The sequence below is a fragment of the Homo sapiens genome, chromosome 10 (genome assembly GCF_000001405.40).
Source record: "Homo sapiens chromosome 10, GRCh38.p14 Primary Assembly".
NCBI lineage: Eukaryota > Metazoa > Chordata > Mammalia > Primates > Hominidae > Homo > Homo sapiens.
Window position 1 is genome coordinate 30,754,293 of NC_000010.11, and position 21,766 is coordinate 30,776,058.

At 47.9% G+C, this 21,766-nt stretch overlaps 1 annotated feature.

Annotated features, from left to right (window-relative positions):
- Positions 442-541: a silencer, noted in NCBI's record as "silent region_2269". NCBI's record gives its function as "represses an Ori minimal core promoter by ATAC-STARR-seq in GM12878 lymphoblastoid cells {active_cell/tissue: GM12878}" and the evidence as "EXISTENCE:reporter gene assay evidence [ECO:0000049][PMID:35858748]".

Sequence of the window (21,766 nt, forward strand, 5' to 3'; positions counted from 1 at the left end):
CTTCTGGGCTTTGGAGGGGAGTCACCAGTGTCTCACGGGCAGTCCCTTTTAACTGGTGAGCTTGCTGAAAACAGAGGCCTCACACCTCCTGGACCAGGACAGGGATCCACAGGAGGCGAGGTAGAGTGGCCAGGAAAGCCACAGGGAAGTCAAAGGAGGCAAAATACAAGTGCCTGTGTGCACAGGGCTCTGCCCACGGAGCTTCGAGCCACATTCGCAACTTACTGAGAAATGCCCGTGGGATTGTTCACCAGCCATTTAACTAACCTGTATGTACCCGGTGGGAGCTTTAGTAGGGAAATTTCAGCTGGAGATGCACATGTTCCTTCCTGGCTCTAGGTGCTGCCATGGCCTGGACCCTGTGCCCACCCTGGGTTGGGAGTGTCTGGTGTGTTCCCTCACCTACCCTCCCCGGGATCCCGTGAGCCAGGGGTGATGCAGCTGTTTAGCAGATGTGGAAGCAGATTAACTGGTGAGGGTGGGAATTCACCTTCCACCTTGCTGAAGTTTGGTTTCATTTAATATTCTCACCATCAGCCAGTTCCTGGGGTGAGCTCCACGCAGCTCTCTGAAGAAGGGGCAAGAGGAACATTAGGCTGACAGAGACAGGGGGTGAGAAGTCCACCTGCTATGTTCCGGACTATTCTAACACCCAGCCCCACAGCCCACCCCCAGCCCATGTACCCACTGACTCTTGTTCCTCTGCGGTGGCCTGTGCTGGGCCCATCTGAAAGGAGAACTTCGCTCTCCTGGTGCCTCCATCCCTGTGCTCCTCCTGGGAGATGGAGAATACCACCTCTCCAGGCCAAGATCCCCCTGTTTATTTCATCCCTTCAAGGAGGGGTGATGAGGGTCAATGTTAGTCAGGGTTTTGTTTTCCAAAGGCTAGAAGCAAAGTTAGGACCACAGAGGCCTCCTTCTGCGAGCCAGGAACAATACACAAGTGGGCTGTTCTAATTTCATTTTCCTTTCTCTCCGAGCTCCTAAGTTCACTGCACAAAGCACATGGAAAGGTAATCTGTTGCTACCCAGATTGACCTCTCTGCCCACACACATTCCCTGCTTCCTTAAAGGATGGAAAGGAAAGGTAAAAAAATTGCAAAATTACTGCTTTGGGTTCAGGAAATCCCAGCTCCTGGAATCGATGGGTTAATATGGGGTCCATTTATAAATTCCAGCTGTTGAGTCTGTGCTACACGGTTCATGCTCCACATTCCAGCTGGAGGCCGTGTAATCAGCGTTGGAATGGGTAAAAAGGATAATATCTTGAGCTGTTTAATTTTTGTTCCTGCTTCCCAGTGGGCCTATCCTAAGATTTCAACTCCTTGCCTCAGCTTGGATGGGCTAGTGTAAAGTTACTTTCCAAAGAAGCCGAGAGAACATTTCGTGTAAAGAAGGTGTGGGGCAGATGCCATTGGCTTGTATTTGACAGAGAACAAGTTTCCACTTAGGGTGGGGCCCGCCTGCCTCAGGCTCCTGCTGAATGAATCCCAGCTGTGCAGGGCTGGCCACTGACTGCCTCTAGCCCACTTTGGGGGAAGAACTCCTCCCTACTTAATGCTAGGGCATTTGGGAACCAGGCACAGACAGCAGGTGGGTTTTAGCCAGATGCAGAAATCTGACTGTACACCAAGAGGGCCCAGCCAAGTCTAGAGAGCCTTGTGGGACTCCTCAAAATGAAGGCAGCATTAGCATGTTATGGAAGAAGGCAATCGGTAAAGCAAACAGCAAGTCTAAAGGGAAGAAATGATGGAGCCGTCAGAAAGGCTTGAGAACTCTCCAGGCTCTAAGCTTCAAAGAGGCCGCTCATGTTATTAATTTCCCAGTTACCTTGGCCAGAACCTACACCAACAGTCAGAGTTCTAAGAAGTGATGAATCTAAGTTCCAGTCCAGCATAGGCCAGTAAATAGTGTTACCTCAATTTCTTCTTTTTATCTTTTTTTTTTTTTTGAGACAGGGTCTTGCTCCATTGCCCAGCTGGAGTGCAGTGGTGTGACCACAGCTCACTGCAGCCTTGACCTCCTGGGCTCAAGTGATCGTCTTGCTTCAGCCACCCGAGTAGCTGGCACCACATGTGCACATCACCATACTTGGCTAATTTTTAAAATTTTTTTGTTTTTGTAGAGATGGTGTCTCACTATGTTGACTAGGCTGCTCTCAAACTCCTGGTGTCAACTGGTCTTCCCACTTTGCACTCCCAAAGTGCCAGGATTATGGGTGTGAGCCACTCAGTTTCCTGTTAAATGAAGACATTGGAGTGGATGATCTCTAAGGTCCCTGTATTAATCCATTTTCATACTGCCATAAAGAACTGCTTGAGACTGAGCAATTTAAAAAGGAAAAGGTTTAATTGACTCACAGTTCAGCATGGCTGGGGAGGCCTCAGGAAACTTACAATCATGGCAGAAAGCGAAGGGGAAGCAAGGTACATTCTTCACAAGGTGGCAGGAAGAAGAAGTGCCAAGCAAATGGGGAGGAGCCCCTTATAAAACTATCAGACCTCATGGGAACTCACTCACTATCACGAGAACAGCATGGGGGAAACTGTCCCCATGACCCAGTTACCTCCACCCGGTCTCTCCCTGGACATGTGGGGATTACCAAGATTATGGAGATTATAATTCAAGATAAGATTTGGGTGGGGACACAAAGCCTAAGTATATCATTCCCTTTCAGGTCAATTTTGTCTGAGACTCTCTAAATTTGGTTGTGATCCATTTGACCAATAAGCATCTTTCTATGGAGATGCGTTAACATATACTAACTTGCCCTTGGGAAGTACTTGTCTCACTATTTCCCCAGAAATGAAGAAGTTGCGTAACAACAAATAAACTACTGTGAACATTATTTGTATTGTTAGTACTTAGTAGTAGATAAATAAATGTGTCTTCAGAACTGGTGGAGTTTTGTTAGGATAATTTCTAAGAAATACCTTGTAAATAAACATTCAGCAAAGACTCAACAAAACGCTTCAATCCATCATTTATCTACAAAAATTTCTAAGCAATGCCATGCAGGTAATTGCTGTATCAAATACTCACAGACTTGTATCTTTTGGGGATTCCAGTTGGTCATTCAGTGGACATAACTCAGCATGAAGAGTTTCTACCTGAGTGAACAGGTCCAGGCTGTGTCTGAATCCACTTCACTGATGACCAAGAAACCCAGATCTTGGGACCTTTTTGCCCAAGTTAGCATGGATGGGTTCAAGCAATCAAACCCACCTTTTCCTTAATCACCGATTTGAAGCAGTGGTGGGTCCAGACATTACAGCCAGGGATGGCGGCTCTCCGGCCTTTAACAGAGAACCATGTGTCCTGCTTGCCTATGATGCTACTGCTCCCTTAGAAACGATATCTATGCCAGGTGCGATGGCTCATGTCTGTAATCTCAGCACTTTGGGAGGCCGAGGCAGGCAGACTACTTGAGATCAGGAGTTTGAGACCAGCATGGCCAACATGGTGAAACCCCATCTCTACTGAAAATATAAAAATTAGCCAGGCATGGTGGCAAGCACCTGTAGTCCTAGCTACTCAGGAGGCTGAGGCTTGAGCCAGAGAGGCGGAGGTTGCAGTGGGCTGAGATCATGCCAATGCACCCCACACTGGGTGACACAGTGAGACTTCATCTCAAAAAAAAAAAAAAAAAAGAAAAGAAAAGAAACTATATCTGTGTGCTTTGAGGTTGGGCTCAGTGGCTCATGACTGTAATCCCAGCACTTTGGGATGCTGAGGTGAGTGGATCACTTGAGGTCAGGAGTTCAAGACCAACCTGGCCAACATGGTGAAACTCTGTCTCTACTCTACTAAAAGTACAAAAATTAGCAGGGTATGGTGGCACATACCTGTAGTCTAAGCTACTCAGGAGGCTGAGGTACAAGAATCACTTGAACCCAGGAGGCAGAGATTGCAGTGAGCTGAGATCGCACCACTGCACTACAACCTGGGTGACAGAGTGAGAATCTGTCTCAAAAAAAAAAAAAAAAGAAAGAAAGAAAGAAAAAATATAAACTATATATGTGCTCTTTGATTTGGCTATACATAGAGGATTTTAGAATTCCAGTAAATAATTTCCTAAGTATAGTTCTGTGATGCAGAATGCTATTCAAATCATTTATTCAACACATTGATCAAATACCTATTGCATGTCTCACAATATTCTAGCCAATGGCACCACCCACACTAATGAATAAGACTGATGAAGCTCCTGCCCCCACGAAGTTTACAATCTAGCAGAAGAGACATTGCTAACTGTGAGTGGGCTGCCCATAACCAACTCCAGGGGAAAGCTGGACTGTTATCTGGCTGAGGACAGAAAAATTCCCTTACACTGAGATGGGAATCTAAAGCCCAGTGGGGAAATAGCTAGCTAAATTATGACCTGAGGTCATCTGATTGAAGTGCTTATTGAGGGCAGGGCTTGGGGGACTGGGCTGAGTCTGCCACAGAATGATGTGCAGGACACGAAGGATTTCAGGGATTCTAGGATGAGGTGGCTGCCTATAATAGAATTGGACAGTTTATGTGAGAGGAAAACAAAGTTAAATCACTAACTTTGCTTCTTTTTGTGTGTGTGCATGTGTGTGAGACAGAGTCTTGCTCTTATGGCCCAGGCTGGAGTGCAATGGCACGATCTTGGCCCACTACAACCTCTGCCTCCTGGGTTCAAGCGATTCTCCTGCCTTAGCCTCCTGAATAGCTGGGATTACAGGTGCCCCCCCACCATGCCCGGCTAATTTTTTTGTTTTTTGTTTGTTTTTTTTTTAGTAGTGACACGTTTTCACCATGTTGGCCAGGCTGATCTCGAACTCCTGACTTCAAGTGATCTGCCTGCCTCTGCCTTTCAAAGTGCTGGGATTACACGCGTGAGCCACCGTGCCTGGCCACTAAGTTTGCTTCTTAAGGCATTGACTGAAACCCCAGGTTTAACTCTTGAAGGGGTGAGCCCCACCACTGAGCTGGTTGAGAGAGTGCTGTGGAAATGGCAGTTTTGTGACTCCAGGATGGCTACGACAAGGACCCGATTATGGAAATAAACACCCACAACGGGACCAAGTCCCTGCAGAGTGAACTTGCTCCCCTAGCCCCTCATTGCTGCTTATTTCCAGAGTGTGGCTCTCAACACCTCCCACAGATGCTGTCAGGCACCTCACATCTTCCCATTAAATGTCTTTCTTTATAAACTCACCAGAGTTAGTTTCTGCACTTGTAATCTAGATCCCTAACTGGTGCAGAAATTGGATATTCCATAAAATAATACAAACATTCTAAAAGACTTAAGGGCATGCAGCAAGGGAATGAGTAATGAAAACATTATAGCATTTCCCGTAACCTTTCTGGGCAACTTTCAGTTTCAAGGCAGGGCTTCCATCAGGCCAAAGGTTGGATTGCACACCTCCTGTAGGCCCAAGTTTTGGTATGCCTTATGATGGATGCAAATGTAGCTCGGGACACCTCTCTCTAAGTGCTGTATAAATAATCCAGCGAGTGAAAAAAGATTTGCATGTATGAAACTGGAGAAAAACAAGCATCTCCATATAACCAAGTGTGCAGTGCCAGACCCTGGACCTTCTTTATTGCTAAAAATGCTCACAGTCATCAGATCCTTCAGCAAGATGCAATCTTCTTTCTGGTGGGGGTGTCTTGTCTCGATGTTGATGGCTGCTGAGTAATCAGGGTGGTGGCTGCTGAAGTTTGGGGTGGCTGTGGCAATTTCTTAAAATCAGACAATAATGAAGTTTGCCACATCGACTGACTCTTCCTTTCGTGAAAGATCTCCCTGTAGCAGGTGATGCTGTCTGATAGCATTTTACCCATGGTAGAGCTTCTTTCAACATCAGAGTCAAACATCTCAAACCCTGACACTGTTCTGTTAATTTCATTTTTAAAATTTTTTTTCAATAGTTTTTGGTGAACAGGTGGTTTGGGGCTACATAGAAAAGTTATTTAGTGGTGATTTCTGAGCTTTTGATGCACTCGTGTGTATTTCTTTCTTGGTTGTTTTTTTTTTTTTTTTTTAGATGGAAAGTCTTGCTCTGTCGCCCAGGCTGGAGTACAGTGGCACGATCTCGGCTCACTGCAGCCTCCGCCTCCCAGGTTCAAGTGATTCTCCTGCCTCAGGCTCCTGAATAGCTGGGACTACAGGTGCTCGCCACCACAACCAGGTAATTCTTGTATTTTTTTGGCAGAGACAGGGTTTCACCATGTTGGCCAAGTTGGTCTCGAACTGCTGACCTAAAGTGATCCACCTGCCTCAGTCTCCCAAAATTTTGGGGTTACAGGCGTAAGCCCCTGTGCCCAGCCTCATGTGTGTATTTCTATGTGGAAGGCATCTTGTAGGCATCAACTTTTAGGTTCTCAGATCTAGAAAGAACTAGAATTTATTTAATCTGAAAATTATTTCTCTCATCTCACTCTATTTTCTTTATCTTAGGAATCACCTTAAATGCTTTCTAGAAGTGGGTATGCAGAAGACTGGACCAGGTCTTATGAGGTTGAGAGGAGAAGGTGAGGGAACAACAAAAAAATGGGCAGGACATGGTCTCATAGAAAGATATGACAGTCCCCAGACAGTGCCAGATCCCATGAGAAAACAGTCCCATGGGTAGCACCATGGTCTGAATGCTCCCCAAACTTCAAATGCTGACATTCAACCCCCAAGGGGATGGTATTAGGAAGGGGAGCCTTTGGGAGGGGATTGAGTCATGAGAACAGAAACCTCGTGAAAGGGATTTGGTCTGTATACATCTATATGCATTGGTATAACGGAATACCTGAGGCTAGGTAATTTATAAAGTGGTAGATCACCTGAGGTCAGGAGTTCCAGACCAGCCTGACCAATATGGTGAAACCCTGTCTCAACTAAAAATACAAAAATTCACCAGGCGTGGTGGCACATGCCTGTAATCCCAGCTGCTCGGGAAGCTGAGGCAGGAGAATCACTTGAACCCGGGAGGCGGAGGTTGCACTGAACCTAGATCACACCCCTGCACTCCAGCCTGAGCAACAGAGCAAGACTCCACCTCCAAAAAAAAAAAAAAAAGAGGTTGATTTGGGCCCATAGTTTTGCAGGCTGTATGAGAAGCATTGTGCTGGCATCTGCTTCTGGTGAGGCCTCAGGAAGCTTCCAATCATACTGAAAGGTGCAGGAGGAGCCTGTGTGTCACATGGCAAGACAGTGGGGAGGAGGTGCCAGACTCTTTTAAACAGCCAGCTCTTGCATGAACCAATAGAACGATAACTCACTCATTACTACAGGGAGGGCACTAAGTGATTCATGAGGGATCTGCTCCCAGGACCTACCACTTCCCACCAGGCCCCACCTTCAACACTGGGGATCACATTTCAATGTGAGGTTTGGAGAAACAAACTATATCAGTTCTCTTATAAAAAGAGTGTTACCTCATCCTTTACACCATGTAAGGACCCAACAAGAAGGTGGTGGCTGTCAGTGAACTAGAGAGCAAACTCTCGCCAGACACAGAATCTGCTGGGGCCTCGATTGGGACTTCCCAGGCTCCAGAATCACGAGAAATAAATTGTGTGTGTGTGTGTGTGTGTGTGTGTGTGTGTTTTGTTTTGTTTTTGAGACAGGATCTCACGCTGTTACCCAGGCTGGAGTACAGCGGTGCAACCTCAGCTCACTATAACCTCCACCTCCCAGGTTCAAGCTATCCTCCCACCTCAGCTTCCCCAGTAGCTAGGACTACAGGTGCACACCACCATGCCCAGCTAATTTTTGTATTTTTTGGTAGAGATGGGGTTTGTCCATGTTGGTCAGGCTGGTCTCAAACTCCTGACCTCAAGTGATCCTCCCACCTCAGCCTCCCAAAGTGCTGGGATTACTGGCATGAGCCACCGTGCAGGCCAGCTGTGTTGTTTGCAAGCCATCCAGCCTATGGCATTTTGTTATAGGAGCCCACTAAGACAGCTAGCTATGGCAACAGACAAGGCAGGACTTCAGAAGATGAGAGTTCTGGGGTGGTCAAGGTGATGTCGTAGATATTGAAATGAGAGGGCCAAGGGACCACTTAGATCTCTCCTACCTGTCTAAGAGGTCCATGCTGATGTGGAGTGACATTTATTAACCTCAAGGTCCTCCTGTAGTACACACAGCTTCCATGGAAGAGCTTTCTTCCATCACCTCCCACCTTCTCAAGGTCTGGCTGAGGGCTGTGCAACTGTACTAATGTAGAAAAACAAAAGACAGGAATTCTAAAGATATGGTAAGTTTCTGCACTCGGGGAGCCATGCAGAGTTCAGTGTCTGGAAGATTCTGAGCCATAATCGGCCTCACATCACAAGGACTTTGCATGCCTTCCATGGCCCAAGCAGACCCAGAGAGCTCTGCAGAGAGAATGAGTCTGCAAGGCCATCCCACTAGGGCAGCATCCAACGTCTGACAGGCATTAGGATTTGAGCCCCAGAAGGAGACTGGGTATCCATGGGGGCCACTGATGGAGTCAGACCAGAGAGCCAAGAACATGCTGGCAGTGAGCCAGAGAGGGAGGCTGAAGGCACAGTGTCTACCCTGATCAGACCAATCCTAGTAAAAACTCTCCATCATTTGTTTTTTTGTTTTGTTTTGTTTTTTGTTTTGGTTTTGGTTTTGAGACAGGCTCTTGCTTTGTCACCCAGGCTGGCGTACAGAGGTACAATCATGGCTAACTGCAGCCTCAACCTCCTAGGCTCAAGTAACTCTCCCACCTTAGCCTCCCAAGTAGCTGGAACTACAGGCGCGCACCACCATGCCCCGCTAATTTTTATGGATTTTGTACAGCCCGGGTTTTGCCACATTGCCCAGGCTGATCTGGAACTCCTGGGCTCAAGCAATCCTCCCTCCTTGGCCTCCCAATATGCTGGGATTACAGGCATGAGCCACTGCACCCAGCCACTCCCTCTTTTTTTTTTTTTTTTTTTTGAGATGGAGTCTTGCTCTGTCGCCCAGACGGGAATGCAGTGGCACAATCTCAGCTCACTGCAACCTCCTACTCCTGGGTTCAAGAGATTCTCCTGCTTCAGCGTCCCAAGTAGCTGGGATTACAGGAGCCTGCCATCATGCCTAGCTAATTTTTGTATATTTGTAGAGCTGAAGTTTCACCATGTTGGCCAGGCTGGTTTTGAACTCCTGGCCTCAGGTGATCTGGCCGCCTCGGCCTCCCAAAGTGCTGGGATTACAGGTATGAGCCACTGCACCCAGCCACTCCCTCATTTTTCAAGAGGCTCCACCAAAGGGAACACCCACCCAGGTTGGCAGGACGCATACCTGGAACCAAATCCTCACCACAACCACTTTAAATCCCCCTGAAGTGGGGTTAACCACCAGAAACTTCCCCCTAAACACTTGGCCTTTGGTAGCTTTGGATTATATATGACTCTTATATTAAGACATTTTAAACTTTTTTTTTCAGTGACTTTTTCCTCTTTGTAATTAGAGGTAAGGAGGAGGATTTTGTTCCCATCGTGGTGTCGCCGTCCTCCCCTGCCATCAGCAAGGTTTTCTCATGCCTCCTGCCAACACAAACCCACTCTGGTGTGGCGCATTTTGCCAACCATCCAGGGACAGCCTTTGCCTTGTGGGGAGCCTGTGTGCACCCAGACATACCCCAGGAAAGAAAAGGTTGCAGAAAAATGGTTTCCAGCCCTGCTCAAAGCTCTTCTCAGAGTCAGCGGTTCACAGCAAAGGGACTTTTCCAGAAGTTCCAAAAGGCTCACAGGAGGTTTTATTTTGTTTTTTCACAATTACCAAGGAAAAGGAAAATAAATTAACTTGAGTGAAAGCAGAAACCCCTGCGCCCTGACACACAACACAAACCAAACCAAACAGGGAAGTGGTCATGCGCTTTCTCGTAGCCATGACGCGCCCAGCCCCAGAGCTGTTAAAGACGCAGCGTTGGTGCAGCGGGCCTGGTGGACACTTCTCTTTGCTCTGCTCAATGCCCCGTGCCTGTTTCTCATTGAATAAACTTTCTCATGAATTAAGGTCTTGAAATTAAATATATCGATCCCAAAGGGGAGCTTTCAAATTAACTAGTCAGAGTCTTACACAACTACTGGTTTTCAACAAGCCGGATGAAGGCCACTCAGCCCCAGCCCCGTGTTATTAGTGGGGTTCAGGCCCGTAAATGATCAGGGACACCCTGGACACCTTTAATTTATAATTCAATTCCCCCCGATCATTTTAACGATCATTGCTCCTAGACAACATAGAAGGAGCTCATTAAGAACTCTCCACAGACTTCTTTAATCATCTATTATTGAAAAAGTTCATGAAGCGTGTGTGTGTGTGTGTGTGCACGTGTGTTTAAAGTTGGAAGGTTTCCTAACTTTCCTGCAATAAATTTCTCTTCCAAGTCATACCTGAAAAAGCACTTTTCATGGAAGTATCCGTCAATAAAAAATATATATAATATGTGACTGGAGGAATCCTAAAAGTCTAGCTATGTGCTGATGATAAGTTCTAAATGACAGCTCGAGTCAAGGTCAAGATGGGGAGGCTCCGATGGCATGGCTGAGTAGAAGACAGGGGAGCACCAGGTGAGTGAGTCAACTCACTTTGAGCCCAGGCCTGAGATGAGACTGGGGCCACCGGACCCTGAGGTCAGCTCTGCCATGGACAGACATGGGTGCCTGGATGGACTGTGGGGCTCCTAAGGACAAGGTGTGTGGTGTCTGTGGTCCACGTTAACCTGCCTTCCAGATGAAGAGTGAGCCAAGAGGAGAGACACAGAGAGACAGAGAGGCACTCTCCCCGAAATGTTCTGCCAGGCGTGGTGAAAGACACACCTTTCCCTGGACTCATCTGCCACGTAGTCAAAGCACACATGGCAACTGGAAATTACTGAGAACCAAGCCTCAATATTTACAATTGAGGTAACTTCACGTTTGAACCCTGAGTGTTTCCTAAGCCATTTATCTTCCTCTACGATGATGAGGCATTTGGCCGGAAAGGGAGATAGAGATGCGAATTGCCGCCTGGACCAAATTGCAGAGAAAGCTAAGAATAGTAGGTAGGACCCACGAAGGCTTCCAAGCCTTTAAATGGACCATCTGGGTGAGATGACAGCTCAAAATGGGATCAAAGAGTTGAAGCTGAAAACGAATGCTGTCACTTCCTAGATTTATTGTCAGCTGGACTTAAAAGCATAAGAAAGACTAGGTTTTTACATTTTCAAACTTTAATAAATCAAATACTCCTTTGAACACATAATCCAGCTGAGTCATGTACCACCCCATGGTCCTGCCGGGCTCACCAGCATCTGATGGGGGTGGTGAGAAACAGCTTCTTCCTACCCCAGATTAGACCCTGGCCACCAATTGCAGGTCTAAGTAGAAAGCTATTCTAGTGGTTCTCATTCAAATGAGCCCCAGGTGAGCCCAGAATCAGAGCTCCCCAGAAGGCACTCAGCTGCAGCCCAGGCCCTAACTGGAAGCTGAGAGCGGCCCCAGGTTCACGGCCCTCTGGAGGAGCATGTCATAAAGCGCTCATCAGCTCTTGCGGTAACTGGCCCCGTTCACCGTCCTGTGCCTGACCCTGGAACTGATTAGCAGGACATGAGTAATTTTCCCATTCGACCACCTCAGAAGCAGGTGGGGTGGAGAAACCAGTGGGCAGAGACAAATAAAAGTGTCCATGTTCACGATGTGAAGGCAGCACTTAGGCAAAATGAGGGGGTTTTTTTTTAGACTTCTTTGAAATGCAACCAGGGAGAACCAAACTTCAGCCTTTCTGTTGGCCAACAAAAGGCCTGTGGTTGCCTTTCTGCTTCCACCCCTACAATTAGGGGAGAGGCCACGTTTCTTCCTGAAATGGGATCTACAGAGAGGCCCCTTGTTCCAGGCAGGACCCTGCCGGTAGCACTGTCAGGGGATAGGACAGCCCATGGAGGCAGCCAGGGTGAAAATGTGAGCAGAGACACCAGGAGGCTGGGACCCTTGGTCTTCCCCAACCCAAGGTGACATGTGACTGCTTTGGGGCTCCACTGCACACTCTGTCTGAGACCCAGAGATCCAGAGAGAATGATCGGAGCTTGAGATCCCTGGACATAATCCAGATTTGGGAGACCAACCCAAGGGAGAGTGAGAGACATGGGCTCATCTGCTGCAGCCCAAGAGGGTCACTGCATCAGCACAGAGCTGGCAGAGGGAGGGGAGTTTCTTCAGCAGTGGCAGCCTGGGATCATTTGTTTACCTGTTATAATGGGAGCTCACACCTAATTTTAAGTAAAAATGTGTGTTTTCAAGTTTATGGCCCTTCTTTCCCCAACTTCCTTAACTGTGCTGGTTGTTTTAGGGAGAATGATGAACCGTGTTGCCTCCTGGCCTGTGCCAGCTCCCGCCCTGTCCCCTCCCCAGCGCCAGCTGCCACCTGCACCTTTAATCATGTCAGGAGGGTCCAAAATGCTGACATCTGCTTCTGAAGTTCGGTTTTAAGTACTTTTTCAGAAATGCAGTTCAATGGACTCCACCTGAAATGTCATTTGGAAAATGCTTGGCATTTCTATAGCAGGGCATTTGTTCATTTTAGGAAAAAATTATGAAGGCAAAATAAAGACCAGACTTGTGGGCCAATTCTTAACGCGACCGCTTGCTAGCAGGAACAGCTCTCCCGCCTCCTCGTTCTCCTCCATCTTTCCTTTGTGGCCACAGTCCTGGGTTGTCACACTTCCACAATAGGGAAAAACAACCACCACTCGCATCTGCATATTTGACAACTCCAGCTTTTCTCCCCAAAAGGAACCTTAGCTCCAGGCGCTTAAACTGGCACCCTTTGCTTTACACTTTCTTTATAATACCTAGGGTGTAGAAAAACAGTAAAACGTTTTTATTGTTTAATTTGAAGCAATTATGATTGTATGTAATAGAATCCATTTAGTTCAGTTACTTAAGAGTTTAAACAAGTAACCAAATTTCTGGCAAATGGAGAGTGTGCAACAGGGAATTTCTGGGCCAAAGTGGCTAAAACAGCATTCAGGGATTGTCTCCTGCATGTGATCACCCTCCTCCACAGTGGAATTCACATAGGCCGTGACTTGGAATCTTGGTGTAATCATCATTTCTAAACAGTGGCTTGGACACCGAGATTAGCATTAATTTAGAAGAACAGAAGAGCAGATAAAATTGGGTGCAGGACTGGGCATGGTGGCTCACACCTGTAATCCCAGCACTTTGAGAGACCAAGGCAGAAGGAACGCTTGAGGCCAGGAGTTCCAGACTAGTATAGACAACATAGCAAGGCTCCCATCTCTACAAACACAGACACACCACACACACAATTAGCAGGGAGAGGGGCGTGCCTGCTGTGGTCCTAGCTATTCGAGAGGCTGAGGCACGAGGATCACTTGAGCCCAGAAGTTTGAGGCTGCAGTGAGCTATGATTGTGTCACTGCACTCCAGCCTGGGTGACAGCAAGACCCTGTCTCAAAAAAAAATTGGTGCAGCCAGAGAGCTACAAGAAAAACATAAGGTGAGAGTACAGAGTGATGGAACAGAAGAGGACTTCGTGGCAGGGTTACACAAAGGTCCCCAGCCCCGGGGCAACCTCCATGTGGTGCTTCACATGGGGCCTCCCGTGGGAACAGCTCAGGGGGGCTGGAAACCCCAGCCCATAGCAGGAACCCCATCTCATTACCTGCTCCCTAGCTCTCTGCTTCCTGCCTGCAGCTCTCAAACCCCTGCTGCTGGACTTCCATGTATGCGGTTCCTCAACGATCAAAGCAGGGTCTATTAGGTTGAGTCACCTTCCCCAGTGAGGGGCACCCCCTGGAGCCCCAGTGGAAAGCTGAGCTGGGCACACGCAGACCTGGGGCTTGGTCACTCTTTTTTTTTTAATTTCGTTTTATATTTTACCTTCATACCACAGTGAAGTCCATCCGTCATTCTTCGGTTTGGTGATTCTCTCTCTCTCTCTCTGTTTCTTCTGTATGCAATGTTGTTGACTTACGACTCTCAGAGCCCAGCTTGGATTTTCTAGAACTGAAGATCTATATTATTGATAGACCTCAAGGATTAACCTATAATGCTTTCATTTACATTTAAACTGGGCTATAAAGTTGCCTCAAATGCAACCCCATTGTGTCCGGAATTGGTGGGTTCTTGGTCTTGCTGACTTCAAGAATGAAGCTGCAGACCCTCGCGGTGAGTGTTACAGTTCTTAAAGATGGTGTGTCCGGAGTTTGTTCTTTCTGATGTTCCGATGTGTTCAGAGTTTCTTCCTTCTGGTGGGTTCGTGGTCTCACTGGCTTCAGGAGTGAAGCTGCAGACTTTCGCGGTGAGTGTTACAGCTCTTAAGGCGGATCGTCTGGAGTTGTTCGTTCCTCCCGTCCAGAGTTGTTCATTCCTCCTGCTGAGTTCGTGGTGTCGCTGGCTTCAGGAGTGAAGCTGCAGACCTTCACGGTGAGCGTTACAGTTCTTTAAGGCAGTGTGGACCCAAAGAGTGAGCAGAAGCAAGAGTCATGGTAGAGGGCAAAAGAAAAAAGCTTCCACAGTGTGGAAGGGGACCCGAGCAGGTTGCCGCTGCTGGCTCGGGCAGCCTGCTTTTATTCCCTTATCTGACCCCACCCACATCCTGCTGATTAGCCCATTTTACAGAGAGCTGATTGGTCCATTTTATGGAGAGCTGATTAGTCCGTTTTACAGAGAGCTGATTGGTCCATTTTGACAGGGTGCTGATTGGTGCGTTTACAATCCCTGAGCTAGACACAGAATGCTGATTGGAGTATTTACAATCCTCTAGCTAGATGTAAAAGTTCTCCAAGTCCCCACTAGATTAGCTAGACACAGAGCACTGATTGGTGAGCTTACAAACCTTGAGCTAGACACAGGGTGCTGATTGGTGCGTTTACAAACCTTGAGCTAGACACAGAGTGCTGATTGGTGCATTTACAATCCTTTAGCTAGACATAAAAGTTCTCCAAGTCCCCACCAGATTAGCTAGATACAGAGTGCTGATTGGTGCATCCACGAACCCTGAGCTAGACACAGAGTGCTGATTGATGCATATACAATCCTCCGGCTAGACATAAAAGTTCACCAAGTCCCCACCCGACTCAGGAGCCCAGCTGGCTTCCCCTAGTGGATCCCATGCCAGGGCCACGGGCGGAGCTGCCCACCAGTCCTGCGCCACAGCGCCTGCACTCCTCAGCCCTTAGGTGGTTGATGGGACCGGGCTCCATGGAGCAGGGGGCAGTGCCTGTTGGGGAGGCTCAGGCCACGTGGGAGCCCACCATGAGGGGTCTCAGGCATGGCGGGCTGCAGGTCCAGAGCCCTACCCCTTGGGGAGGCAGCTGAGGCCCAGTGAGAATTCAAGTGTGGTGTGGGCAGGTCGGCAGTGCTGGGGGACCCGGCGCACCCTCTGCAGCTGCTGGCCCAGGTGCTAAGCCCCTCACTGCCCGGGGTTGGCAGTGCCGGCCAGCCGCTCCGAGTGCAGGGCCCACTGAGCCCGCACCCATCCGGAACTCATGCTGGCCTGCGAGTGCTGCGCACAGCCCCAGTTCCCACCCATGTCTTTTTCTTCACACCTCCCTGCAAGCAGAGGGAGCTGGCTCCGGCCTTGGCCAGCCCAGAGAGGGGCTCCCGCAGTGCAGCAGCAGGCTGAAGGGCTCCTCAAGCGTGGCCACAGTGGACACTGTGGCCTGAGGAGGTGCCGAGAGTGAGCAAGGGCTGCTAGCACTTTGTCACCTCTCACCATCAAATCCAGTTAGTTTGGGATCCACATCCCAAGCATAGTGGGTGTCAAAGAACTCACTCTTCTGTTTAATCCACCAAGGCTGCCCTCTGTCAATAATGGAAAATTATTTACATTATTTCCATATATGAAATACAAAGACTCTCTCCCCTTTCCAAGTCTCTTCCCATTACAGCTTCAGGCTCAGGTTCAAGGTCCAGGATCTTATTTCCTAGAGCAGGTCCAGGTCCATCTGGGTGTGTTTCTTCAGGAGCAGCTCCACAAGTCTGGTTCTGCCTGTTCTGAAGACCTGCGAGGTAGAGAAATAATGACATGTCCCTACCACCCCACACTCCATTTAACGACAATGGTAATAGCTGGATAGGGAAACTCCAATTAACACTGTTTATTCAAAAGAGACAGGGAAAGGAGGCATTAGCCATGATTGGTACATAGCAATTTGGAAATCCAGTCAAGCCCATGTCTCCAGTTCCTTGATTAAAGCAAAATCTTGCTTTCTGGGAGTGACTCCCAGTGGCTCCTGACAGTTTCTTCATAAGAAATGGCAGCTGAAAAAAGAAATAAGAAATAAGAAGTCTTCACAGAGAAGTATTCTTCTCAGACTGTTCCCAGCTGAGCTGGATTCCTGCTGGAATGTTGTTAGCTGTGTGGTCAGGTGCATCACATGGCAGGTCATGGCTTCCAGAGAGAATGTTCCTAAAGAGTGTGGAAGCTGCCATTTTCTTAAGACTTGAGCTTGGAAACTGGTATAACATCACTTCTGCCATCTTCCAGTGGACAAAGTAGTCACAGATTCAGGAGGAGGGAACATAGACTCCACTTGTCAATAGAAATAGTGTCAAGGAATTGATGGTTCTCTTTAGTCTTCCATACTTCTTCTGCTTCATCCCTTCTTCCTTCTTGTTGCCTGAAATGGAAATGTGAAGACTGGAGTTGCAGCAGCCATCTTGGACCATGAGAAGCTGTTGGAAATAAAAGGCTCAACATTCCAGCAGGATAAAATTCATTTTGTACTACATTTATCCTTTTAGTCCAAGCTGATACAATTCCCTTAAAAACTTCGTGGGTTACCCATATACCAATCAGTGGTCAATTCCATTAAAGAAAAGTCACATTTCTTTCCATGTCAGATCTTTCTCCACCTTTAGCAATAGGCAAAGCTATTGTGAGCAATGCTAATAGCATTTAAATTCTTTAAAGCTGTATTGTCTGAGAAAGTCTGTAAAGCATGCCTTTAAGACTCTTAGAAGCCCCCACCTTCCAGTATCCAGGCATATCATATCCTTAAATATTTTGGCAGTTATTAAAGTCTTACAGTCATACTCAATGAAATCTTCACTCCAAGGTCATTCTGTACAAAGATTTGATCTTTGTCCTGAAGCCATTTCTTACTGTGACACTTTTGCTGAGACAGGATGGAGATGAGAAACAGGTTTGTTATCACACCCGGAAGGTCCTGGCTCCTTTGCACTCGCTCTGAGCTCTGCTCTGCACCCTGGTAGTTCTTTCCTTAGTTCACTCTTTCTTCCTATAGCTTATCATAGGCAGGTATGAGAAGCCAGCAGTGTCTTCTATCTCTGCCTGGATTCTTCTCTGAAGACCTCTGAGTTCATCAGGTACTTTCCTATTTTCCAGTTTACCACAGGTGACAGTGTGTCCAAGCTTTCTGTTCAGCCTCCAGTGATGTTTTCCTCACTCTCCTCTAAGCTCTTGTGAACAGAATCTTTGGAGTCCTTCCAGCTTTTATTAACAATCTTTGGCCGGGCATGGTGGTTCACACCTGTAATCCCAGCACTTTGGGAGACCGAGGCGGCTGGATCACTTGAAGTCAGGAGTTTCAGACCAGCCTGGGCAACATGGTGAAACCCCATCTGTACTAAAAGTACAAAAAAAAAAAAATTAGCCAGGTGGTAGTGGCACATGCCTGTAATCCCAGCTACTTGGGAGGCTGAGGCAGGAGAATTGCTTGAGCCTGGGAGATGGAGGTTGCACTGAACCAGTATTGCACCACTGCATGCCAGTCTGGGCAACAGAATGAGACCCTGTCTCAAAACAAAACAACAAAAAACTATCTTCATGAGGTCCCCTCAGCTTTTGCCCAGTGCCTCATCTCAAAACCAAGGCCATGTGTTAGGTTTCTGTTATAGCAGCAATCCACTTCCATCTAGCAAATTCTCTTCAGGTTATCTATTGCTGCAAAACTTAACGTTCAAAATTCCATTACTTAGTGGTTTAAAATGCCAGTCATTGTTACTGTTTTTCACAATTTTCTGGGTCAGAAACTTGGCTAGGACTCAAAGAGGTGATATGATTTTTTCCTCTACTGAGGTCACTTGGTGATAGATGATGGATGGGCTGGTCTACAGGGGCCAAGATGGCTTCATGCACATCCCTGGCACTTTAATGGGGATGGCTGGAAGGGTGGTCAGGTGCATCACATGGCACCTCACGGTTTCCAGAGAGAATGTTCCTAAAGAGTGTGGAAGCTGCCATTTTCTTAAGACATGAACTTGGAAACTGGTGTAACATCACTTCTGCCACCTTCCAGTGAACCAAGTAGTCACAGACAGATTCAAGATGAGGAGACATAGACTCCACTTGTCAATGGAAAAAGTGTGAAGGAATTGATGACCCTGTTTAGTCTTCCATTCTCTTCCTGCTTCATCCCTTCCTCCTTCCTGTTGCCTGGAATGGGAACGTGAAGGCTGGAGTTGCAGCAGCCATCGTGGACCATGAGAAGCTGTTGGGAATAAAAGGCATGCACTGCAGATCCACAAGCTGGAAGCATATGGATCGCCAGGGCCACAGAATACCATATCATCTCTAAACTGCCAACCCCTGAACTTTCAGAATGTGAGAACAAATAAACCTTAAGGCATTATTATTTTAGGTTTTTATGTCATTTGTAGCGTAATACTGAACAGTAGCTTTTGGGGGTGCAGTGTGTCCTTCAGTAGCTCAGAGTTGCAGATTGAGGAGACTGTTGTGCATGTCAATAATCCATCCTGCGCCCCATAGCCAGAGTGCCCTGATGCATCACACATCAGGCTGGCAGACGCTTCTCTATGGTCCCTTCCAGTGAAAGAGCCCTGGAATCACATCCTGATCTCATCACTTCCTTCCAAACAAGGTTTCTGTCAGATTAAAGTCCACCTTCCAAGGCCCTCCATGGGCTGACCCTGACCCACCTCTCCAGCCGGATTCCCACCATTCCTCACACCCCCCCAACAGGTGAACCCACAACCCTGACGCACCCTGTGCTGTCCCCATGGGCACTTATACTTCTCTATCCCTGTCACACATACACACATATAAACACACACACATATACACACAGACACACACGTATATACACAGACACACATAAACACATATACACACACTCATACACATACACACACAGAGACACACACATGCACACAGACACATACAGACACACATAGACAGACACACACTTATATACACAGACACACACAGAGACACTCATACACATACACACAGACACACACATGCATACAGACACACAGATACACACACATACACACAGACACACACACATACACACACATATACACATACACACAGACACACACATACACACACTCATACGCATACACACATGCACACACACATACACACTTACACACACATACACATACACACACATACACACAGACACACACACATACACACAGACACTCATATGTATACACACAGACACACATGCACACAGACACATACACACATAAACAGAAACACATACACACACAGACTCACATACACACAGACACACAGGCACACACACATACACACATAGACATACAGGCAAACACATATACACACAGGCATACACAGATACCCACAGGCATACACAGATACACACACATACAGACACATGCATACACACACAGATATAGACATATACAAACACAGACACACACACATACACATATACACACACAGAGACACACAGAGAGACACACACACACACCTTCTTCCAAATCCTACCATGCTTTTAGGACAAAGCTCAAATCTGATTTCCTGTGTGAAGAATTTCCAGGATCACAAAGTACGGGCTTTCTTCCTCTCTTGAACTTTTAGCAGAACCCAAACCCCTCAAGGGACATCACAATGGGTGTCCTCAATGGAGGGCATTTGTTGTTTTGATTCCTCACGTATGCATACATCTTATTTCTCCAGCTGGACCAGGAGCTGCCCAAGCGGGGGGCCTGTGTCACAGCTCTTTGTGTCTCTGGGGTCTCGCTAGTGACAGGGGCCTTGCTTCCAGGAGGCACAGCAAAGCAGTATCTGGCACAAACAGAGCCAACCGCTGGCCAAGCTGGAAAGAGAAGGAAGAAAATGGTTGTCCGCCACGCCACTCCTTTCTGTCTCCCACAGAGCTCCGTGGAGCCCCATTTCACACTCTCACCCGCCCAGTCAGCAGACACTTGGTGGTGTAAGTCCATCTTCAGAGGATCACTGTCCTGCCAGAAATTTCCAGAGGACAGAAGCCCATAGCCCATCCTGCCAGGCGAACCACAGACCCCAGGGAGCATCAGCTGCCACTTTACCCATGGGCTGATGCTGAACGATTGGAAAGATGCCCCGGCCGCTTGGATTTTTATTCTCATATCAGCATTTTGCCCAGCAATTGGAAGCAGAGACCAGGAAGACACACGCATAGAAAGGAGAATTTCTCAGCTTTGCTTTGAGTCCCTGAAGGAGAGACACAAACCCTCCCCACAACTCCTTGCGGGAACCCTCCCCTACCTTGACCCACAATCCCAGCCTGCAGGTTCCCTGCAGAGTCCAGACTCTGCTGGGACATCAGATGGCCCAGGGATCACAAAAGCAGCCGGCGATGGCAACGATTCCGACTGGAAACTTTGATCAAACTCAGCATCCTTTTCCCGAGGGCTGAAAGCCTGACAGTGAGCAGAACTGGCACCAGGGAGATTCCATTTAATGAGTTATTTGGCAAGGGCTATTTCTGAAATTAATTATCAATCACTTCTAATTGTTTTTAAATGGCAGTTATTAATCTGAAAAGGCTCGGGAAAACGCTTGTGTTATGGTGTGTTCCCTCAGCTGCCCAAAGGACACACGCCGAGAGGCTGACGGAGCCCTGGTTAAGGCTGGTGTTTGGCAACAGATCAAGAAGGGGCACCGCAGCTCTAGGCCCAAGGTGAGGCCCCGGGGTGAGGCCAGGGGCCAGGAGGGTGGCTCCAATACCTATGTGTATTCTCAGAGCAGTTAGCAGGAGCCAGGAGAGGAAGCTTCTGGCTTAAGCCAATCCATGCCCAGCACCAAAACCTTGATCTCCCCTCAAGCCCAGCCTCGGCCTCCAGTCTCACTAATAATTCAATCTCATTTAATCTAATAAGCCTGAAAGCCTGGAATCCCCAGTGCATGCCTCACCTGAGGCAGAGGTGCTCAGAAGGGAGGAATAGGTGCTGTCTTGGGGATGCACCACCTGCTTAGCACACCTGCCCAGACGAGGGGGCAGGGCTCCAGGTGCTGCACCTGTCTTCTGAGAATGGAGGTGACACCTTGAGAACTCTATAAGGCCTGGAAATATCTCAACGAGTGCTAAGAAAACAGGCAGGCACACGCACATATGGGAATCTGGTCAAAGATCAGAGGGACAAGAAGCCCAGGCCAACACCTCTGCCCCGATCCCCTATTTTCTCCTGAGTGGCCCAGAAGAAGAGGCTGGAGTGCAGTGGCACAATCTCAGCTTACTGCAACCTCCACCTCCTAGGTTTAAGCGATTCTTGTGCCTCAGCCTCCCAAGTAGCTGGGACTACAGGCTTCCACTGTGCCCAGCTTTGTTGTCTTTGTATTTTTAGTACAGACAGCATTTCACCATGTTGGCCAGGCTGGTCTGGAATTCCTGACCTCAAGTGATCTGCCTGCCTCGGCCTCCTAAACTGCTATGATTACAGGTGTCAGCCACTATGCCTGGCCAGGAGTTACTGCTTTTAAACTGGCTACAGCCAGCCCACAACATCTGGAGCTGAGGACAGCGTGAGCCGCTTCAGAAACCAGCACTTGCAGAGTTACATCTTTAGGCGGACAAAC